Source organism: Homo sapiens, chromosome 9 (genome assembly GCF_000001405.40).
Source record: "Homo sapiens chromosome 9, GRCh38.p14 Primary Assembly".
Taxonomy (NCBI): domain Eukaryota; kingdom Metazoa; phylum Chordata; class Mammalia; order Primates; family Hominidae; genus Homo; species Homo sapiens.
The window spans coordinates 37,904,365-37,913,095 of NC_000009.12; the positions used below are offsets into that span (position 1 = coordinate 37,904,365).

The window sequence follows — 8,731 nt, forward strand, 5'->3', positions numbered from 1 at the left end:
GCCTCAGCGTGCCAGAAACAGCCAACGCGTTCTCTAGCGCGCTGCCTGCAGGGGGCGTCTGGGCATTGTCGGTTTTAGGGGCCTTGTCGGTTCTGCGGGGCGAGCGCCTTCGCGGAAAACTCCAAAGTACCCTCTGTGGAGCCTTGTTGAGTATCTTCAAACCTTCAGAGGGACCTTTTATCAGCGACCCATGCCGCAGTTTACAGAAGAACGCTTTGTGCGTGCTTTGGGACGTATGGATCACTTTTAAACTTTTTCCTTTGAAGCTCAGACAGCTTGCGGGGGGCTTGGGAGGAGCGCTGCCCGGGGAGTTAGAAGGCTTGGGTCAAAGTCATAGCCCTCATACTTCTTGAGAGTGACCTTGGGTGAGTCGCTGGACCCTGAGCCCCAAATCTCCGTCTGAAAAGTAACCCATGCCTTGTATGCGTCCTCGGGCTGTTGCAGGAGTCTTTGGAAATGATGGTTCTGACTCTGAGTTGGAAACTGGAACGCACACAACAGATGGGAGGCGTTGAAGGAAACAGAAAGGTCGGCCTGAGGGGAGAGGCGTTTCAGGAGGCTTGCGGATGTGTGAAGTGTGCGCACTGTGCTTGGGGCGAGCCCAAGCAGTAACCCCACCCGAGTGAAGCGTTCTTGGGGGGATCGGCTCCGGGTGGGCGACGTTCCCCGCGTGCCCCCTTCCCCCGAGAGCACTTTGTAGACACTGACTCCAAAAGCGGGTCTGGTCTCTGCCCAGCCCCACTTTGGCTGGCGTGCTTAGGTGCCTCTCGGGAAGCTGGAGACCACCCTCCCCCATTCCAGCAAACGCTCCATTGAGGAACCTACTGCGTGCCAGGTCCTGGGGAGCTTAGCGTCTGATGAAGGATACAACAACAAAAGACTGGAAATTCAGAAGCATGAGGGGACCTCCCCCCTCGAGGGAGAACCAGAGATGGCTTCACAGAGCAGACGTTTGAACTGGGCCTTGGAGGATGGATGAGTGGAATTTGGCCCAGTGGAGAAAGTCATAGCAGCAGGAGATAAGATTGTAAGGGTCAGGTGGTGGGGCTGGATAATGCGAATCTTGACTGTCAGACACAGACACCTGCCATCTAATTAGTACGCGAGGGATAAATTTTGGACTCCGCAGGATAAGGACAAGGCTACACAATGGCTTAGAACAGTTAATCGGGCAACAGTTGGAAAGGGCCTTTGCCTCAAAATTATGTTTGCCCTGTCTTGTGTGAATGCCTATTCAGATGCATTATTTGAAAAATAAATAAACCAGGCAGGCATCCAGCGTGTTCATAAGCATAAATAATTAATTTCAGATTAGAATGGAGAGGTTATTCTCCTGCGGTAAAACCTGAACAAGAAGGAAAAGACTGAAATTAAACACACAATTGGGGCACACCAGACTCAGAAAATCCCAGGCTAACGGGAAAACTGAGGTCTGGAGCTGAGCCCAGTCTGCTTCTTTTATGCTGCTGCAGGCCACAGCACAGTCCTCTGCCCCTCCAGCTCTTAGTTCCTTGTCAGAAACCCCCAGGCCCTTCATTGGCTCTTCTTGGGCATATGAATGTTGGGGATGAAAACCCTCTATTTTTGGATACCAGATCCATCTTAAAGTTAGCCCTTCATTTCTGTCCTCATCCACCCATTCCTGCATTCCATACCTCCAACCACTAGGTCAGCTGCCAGATATCCTCCAACCCAGCTGTGATCATGTCATCCCGCAGCTTAAAAATCTCCAATGGTTCCCCCTTGGTTCCCTCTTGGTTCCCCCAGTAAATCCAAACTCCTTAACTCGGTGCACGGGGCTGTCCTGTCCTGGCCCTTTTGCCAGTCTGTCCACCTCAACCCCAACTATATTCTGTGCTTTAGCCATATGCAGTCTCAGTGTTTTGCAAATCCTGTGTTCCTTAAGCCTGTTTCCCCCTTTCACCACTGATACATGTTAGCCCTTCACCAAATAGCCCTTCAAGGTCCTTTTGCCTCCTCTCCCTCCTAGAAGGCTTCCCTGATCATCTCAGGCAAAATTGACTGTCCTTGCCCCTGCCTTCCCATGCCCCAAAGTTTGGGGCGCTTCTGACATCCTGTCCTATGTTGTAGTCACTCATGACAGTGTGATCTTTCCCACCGCCAGCTCATGAGGGCAGAGCTGTCTGGCTTTTTCCTGGCTCTCCAACTCAGTGCTTGGCAAAAAGGGCGCCTAGGAGATGTTTGCCGAAATGAAATGCGGGTGGAGAGCAGAGCTGTTGGAAGGCAGGGCCTGGGTTCCTGGGGGAAAGGGCCATAAGAAGGTTGCTGGTGGATCTTTGCTTAATCACCCTCCACTCCTCCCCTCAAAAAATGCTTTCTAGAAGGTTGTCTGGTGCCCTCAGACTTCATTGGCTCTTAGGTGCACGAAAACAGCCTTACGCAAGCTGTCAGTGGAGTATCAGCTACTGTGAGTGACTATCTCTGCCACTCCCCTTCACACCCCCAGTACCAAATGGCCAAGGGCCAGCCAGCCCCTTGGTGTTCCCTTCCCTGAACTTGCTGCATTCTTTTCACGTCCCCCAACGCTTGGGTATTTTTTGTCCTCTGTGCCTAAAAGGTCTTGCTTGCTTCATAACAATGTCCTGTTCCTCCTGCATGGCTCAGTTCAGAGGCTTCTGGTCACTGCTGCCCCATCTGAACTCACTACGTCCTGCTGCAGAGCCCCTCAGTGCTGTCAGCCCCACCCTCCCTTGCCCCCACCTCAGGTCCTTGCAGTCTGTCCCCATGGCTGGTCTGTGAACTCCAGGACCTTCTCCCTTTCTGCTTCATTCATGTCCAAACCTGCTCTGATCCAGCAACTCACGTGCATCTGTATTAATAACATATAACAGAGACCCAGGGTTTACCCTGCCAGCCTGGGAGATTGTTTGTTCTCTTCAGTTTATTCATTCATTCATTTTAATGGTGGTGGGGCCCCACTGAATCAGTGATTCTTAGCCCTGTTTCACATTAGAATCATCTGGGAAGCTTTGAAAACAAAACAACAGCCACCCCCCGCCCCACTCCCCGGCCCCATTCCCCTGCCCCAGAGGTTCTGATTTAATTGGTTTGCAGTGGGACCTGAACCTTAGTATAGTCTAAAAGCTTCCCAGGTGTGCTGAGGTTGAGAACAACAGTGCTCAATTCTTGCTTCCCCAATGTGCCTGAAGACAAGAATCTCTTGAATTTGGGCAAACTACCTATGGGCCATACACTTAGGGACAGCACCAGCACTGAGTCACCCAGAAATGTGTTAGAAATGCAGAATTCTGGCCCCAGTAAACCAGGATTGGTATTTAACAAGTTCACCAGGTGTGCTGTGTGCACATTACAGATTGAAAAGCATTGACCTAGATTCTAGGTCCTAGAGGTCTGGTTAAAAAATAGATCTGTCTCATGTCTGTAATCCCAGAACTTTGGGAGGCTGAGGCAGGAGGATCACTTGAGTTTGAGACCAGCCTGGGCAACACAGTGAGACCCTGTCTATAAACAATAAAATAATTAGCCAGGCGTGGTGGCACACATCTGTAGTCCCAGCTACCTGGGAGGCTGAGGCAGGAGGATTGCTTAAGTCTGGGAGGTTGAGGCTGCAGTGAGCTGTGATCATACCACTGCACTCCAGCCTGGGAGACAGAGTTAGACCCTAACTCAAAAAAACCCAACATATATATATATATATATGATATATATACACACACACACACATATGATATATACACACACATATATGATAGATATATACACACATGATATATACACACATATGATATATATACACACATGATGTATACACACATACGATATATACACAAATATGATATATATGATATATATATATAATCAGTTCCAAGACAGACTAAATTAGAATCCCCAGGAGAGAGGCCAGTTGGCCTGTGTATATTTAACGCTAGCCCTGGCTGATTCTTCTCAGGCAATTTTGGGAAATTATAGCTTTAAATTGACATCCTGACCCATTATAGTGACCTGTGGTTTGAAACACAGGGTCCTACAGGGCTCAGGAATGTGTAAGTGAATGAGCCTGTAGCTCAGAGGGGAAACAGTCCTAAGGAAAATTATCAGCATTGCTTGAGAGCCGCACATACCAAGTGCTCTGAGTGTTGATAGGAGAGGGAAGTTGTACCAGCTGCAATCAGGGAAGGCTACTTGGGAAAGGTGATCTGTAAAGGAAAGCTAGGATTCAAATAAGGTGGGTTCCAGAAAAAACATGGGATGAGAAAAAGCGTATAAGAAGGAAGACACCAGGTGGCTTTTTCCCTATCATCATTTCGGTACCCCGGCTTTTTCTCCCAGCACACCAGCAGGCAAAGTTTATGCCCCCTGATAAGTCCCAGAGCTCAGAAAGATTGGTGACCTCTGGGTAAGGTCAGGGACACCTTACTTGTTGTCTGAGTGACACATACTTGTGAAATACAAATACATTTTTACCTACCAAGGGCCAAGTCAATGAAACAAGAAGCAGTTGCACAATACTGTGTGGGTTTCCCAAGCAGCCACACGATATGTCATTTCCTCAGATTTTCACATACTTTGTGTCCTCAAAGAAGTCCCATGACCTATCTGAGCTATGTACCCAGTAAGAGGTGAGGCTGGGACTCTGCCACTCCTATTGTTTTGGGGGATGGAGCTAGCCACAAATGCGCAGTGTGATAGTTGATGCTTTCCTTTTTCCTGGCACTTGTTCAAAGGCCCAGATGGATGGTGAGCTGCAGGGCGGTGGGCAGCCTGGCCTTGACCCCAGGGGAGTATCTCCTGAGCTCCCTCATCATAAGACACCCATGGGGAACTTGTGAAAAATATCGGCTTCCAGGGCTGACCCAAGACCTCCTGAATAAAAATCTCCAAGCAGAGGTCCTAGGAATTTGTATTTTTATAAGAACCATGTGTAAACCTTAGGTGAGGCTAGTTGGGAAACACTGAACTCAATGTAGCATGCTGCAAGGTCAGAATACTTGGGTTTGCATCCTTGATCCACCACTTCCTAGTGATGTCACTGGATAGCCCCACACCAGCCTCAATATCTCCATCTACAGGATGAGGGTCCTTCCTGGTGACCATGTTCCAAGACCCTGAGGGAGGTTCCCCATGATGGCAGATCCAGTGCGATGGAAGCTCATCCTCCTTCCGGTATAGAGGGGGCAGTGGTGCTCAGGGACACAAAATGCCACCCTTCTCTCTTGTCCTTGGGGCAGAAGGGACCATGCAATTTCTCTCTAGATCCCATTCACCTCTGGGCTATGACCTCCCCCTGGGCCTCCACCACTGAATCCAACTTCTGCTTTTCCTAGCATCGCTTCACCTTTCTGAACCTCAGTTTTTCTTTTCTGATATATTTTGTTTACTTCTTTTGTTTATTTTTTATTTTTATTTTATTTTTTGAGACGGAGTCTCGCTCTGTTGCCCAGGCTGGAGTACAGTGGCGAAATCCCTGCCCACTGCAACCTCCACCTCCTGGGTTCAAGCACTTCTCCTGCCTCAGTCTCCCAAGTAACTGGGACTATAGGCACCTGCCACCATGCCTGGCTAATTTTTGTATTTTTAGTAGAGAGGGGGGTTTCACCACGTTGGCCAGGCTGGTCTTGAACTCCTGACCTCAAGTGATCCGCCCGCCTTGGCCTCCCAAAATACTGGGATTACAGACGTGAGCCACCATGCCCGGCCTGTTTATTTTGAGACAGGGCCTCCCTGTGTTGCCCAAGCTGAAGTGCAGTGGCAAGATCTCAGTTCACTGCAGTCTCCACTTCCTGGGCTCAAGTGATCTTCCCACTTCAGCCTCCCAAGTAGCTGGGACTACAGGTGTGCAGTACCACACCTGGCTAATTTTTGTATTTTTTTTTTTTTTTTGTAGAGATGGGTTTTTCTCCATGTTGCCCAGGCTGGTCTTGAACTCCTGAACTCAAATGCTCCTCCCTCCTCGGCCTCCCAAAGTACTTGGATTACAGACATGAGCCACCACACCAGGCCTGAACTTCAGTTTCTCATCTGCACAGCAGGACTCCCATTGTGGGAGACCAATGCATGTACAATGTGAGGCGCACATAGAGTAAACCCGCCACAGATAGGATCTTTTATCATTGTTACTTCAGCTAACAAATACTTATTGAGCACCTACTGTATGCCAGCAGCTGTCCTAGATCCCTGCTTGTGTGGAGTCTGCATTCTGGTTCCGTTCTAGGGGTTGGAGACAGACAATAGATAATGAACACAATACATGTTTAATATTTAAAGAATAAAGCTGCTGCACAGATTTAACATTTAAACAATAAGACAATAAATAGGTTCAACATTGACATAAATAAATGTAATTATTTAAATAGTAAACAAAACAGATGCTTTTTTTTTTTTCTGTTGCCGAAGCTGGAGTGCAGTGGTGCCATGCTGGCTCACTGCAACCTCCGCCTCCCAGGTTTAAGCGATTCTCCTGCCTCAGCCTCCCAAGTAGCTGGGATTACAGGCATCTGCCACCACACCTGGCTAATTTTTCTATTTTTAGTAGAGACAGGGTTTCGCCATGTTGGCCAGGCTGGTCTCAAACTCCTGACCTCATGTGATCCACCTGCCTCGGCCTCCCAAAGTGTTGGGATTACAGGCATGAGCCACCGCTCCTGGCCAACAGATGCTTATTATTTAGATAATAACTATAGTGTGTTAGAATTAATTTAAATAACAGAGAAAGATGGGATGTTAGAGGATGCTGAGAAAGGGGATGGAGAGAACTCTGTGAGCACTGCTCTGGGACGTCCAGCTGGAGAGGAAGAAGATCTTAAGAGCTGTGGTCTCAACTTCAGGAGATGTCCAGTGAGGCTGGAGCATTTTTTATTTATAAAATAGACTCCACTTCTTGCCTCCCACAGGAAGCCTTTCTGGCACCCTAGACCCTCTTTGCTTTGAAATCCTGTGGCTACACTGGCCTCTGCCATCACACTTTGTTCTCATCCTAGCTGACCTCTGAAGGTTGATGACGCTAAGCCTTGCTAAGGGCAGTCATTCAACACCGCGTGTAATCTTTGCAGCAACCCTGTGAGGCTGCTGGTTTTGTGTTACTTTGCAGCAGAGGAAGCGGAAGCTTTTGCAGTTTGCCCAGGTCACACAGCTGGAAAGGGACGGAATTAGACTAAGTTCCCCCTGGGTGATGGCTGTTTCTCTGCTCACCTGCGTCCTGGACCTGAGGAGGGCAGGGCTCCTTCTGAGCTTCTCTGGGTTTCCCCAGCCCCAGCTCCAGCCCCTGACCCTGGCTCTCTCACAGGGGCAGAGGGAGGGTCTACTGAATGGGAGGTAAGGGGCTTGCCCTTGGGGTAAAAGGACAACTGTTCCGGCTTGCTGGGACCATCCTGGTGTTAGCCCTCAGAGTCCTGCACCCTGAAAAGCTTCTCTTATAGGGACAACTACTCACCCTACATGCAGAGCCCAGTCTCCTGTCCAACCCCATGGGTAGCCTGAATTCATGCTGTCCCTGAAGAGAAAAGCTACTTACAGTGTGCCTCATGTTTTAGGCAAGGTCCAAGTTGCTAAAAGTCTTTAAAGGTAACAGGACAGCTTTTCTGTGGGGGCACTCCCGGACACAGCAGTGGAAGAGGAACTGACGCATCTCTGGAGGACAGGAAGTCTTGAAGATGTACCTAACCTTTGACCTCATAATGCCCCGTCTATTAATTTCTCCTTACAAAAAAACCAGAAATATGGATAAAGATTTCTGAACAATTCCCTGCAGAGCTGGTTATACAAAAATTTGAATAAGTTAAATTAAGGTAGAGGCCAGGTGCAGTGGCTCACGCCTGTAATCCCAGCACTTTGGGAGGCCAAGGCAGGCGGATCATTTGAGGTCAGGAGTTCCAGACCAGCCTGGCCAACATGGTGAAACCCCATGTCTACTAAAAATACAAAAAGTAGCTGGGCATGGTGGTAGGCGCCTGTAATCCCAGCTACTTGGGAGGCTGCGGCAGGAGAATCGCTTGAACCTAGGAGGCAGAGGTTGCAGTGAGCTGAGATCATGCCACTGCACTCCAGCCTGGGCGACAAGAGTGAAACTCTGTTTTTTAAAAAAAAAAAAATTTAGGTAGAAAATACGATACAGCTATTTAAAAAAAGATCATATTGTAGGAGATTTAATAACAGAGGAAAAGGGACACGACACTGTGTTAAGCAGAAGATGGAGGCTATAGAACTATGTAAACATGGCTTGAGCCCAATTTTAATTTAAAATAATTATATATGTGCATAGAGAAAAAGACTGAGGTGATACTTCAGAACGTGAATGTACTGTTCTTTGAGTTTAGGGTAATTTTTATTTTCTTCTTTATGTTTTCCTGAAATACAAATTTCCATTACTAATACAAGTAAAAAAAAATTTTTTTTTTTGAGACAGAGTCTTGCTCTGTCACCCAGGCTGGAGTGCAGTGGCCCGATCTTGGCTCCTCCGCCTCCTGGGTTCAAGCGATTCTCCTGCCTCAGCCTCCCAAGTAACTGGGACTACAGGTGCCCATTACCACACCCGGCTAATTTTTGTACTTTTAGTAGAGATGGGGTTTCACCATTTTGGCCAGGCTGGTCTTGAATTCCTGGCCTCAAGTGATCTGCCTGCCTTAGCCTCCCAAAGAGTTGGGATTACAGGTGTGAGCCACCGTGCCCAGCCACAAGCACAAACTTTGTGTGGTTTTTTTTTTTTTTTTTTTGAGATGGAGTCTTGCTCTGTTGCCCAGGCTGGAGTGCAGTG

At 48.3% G+C, this 8,731-nt stretch overlaps 1 pseudogene; it reads left to right on the forward strand.

The window, feature by feature from the left end:
- The window catches only part of PAICSP1 (phosphoribosylaminoimidazole carboxylase, phosphoribosylaminoimidazole succinocarboxamide synthetase pseudogene 1), a 34,374-nt pseudogene extending 26,303 nt beyond the window's left edge, over window positions 1–8,071 (forward strand).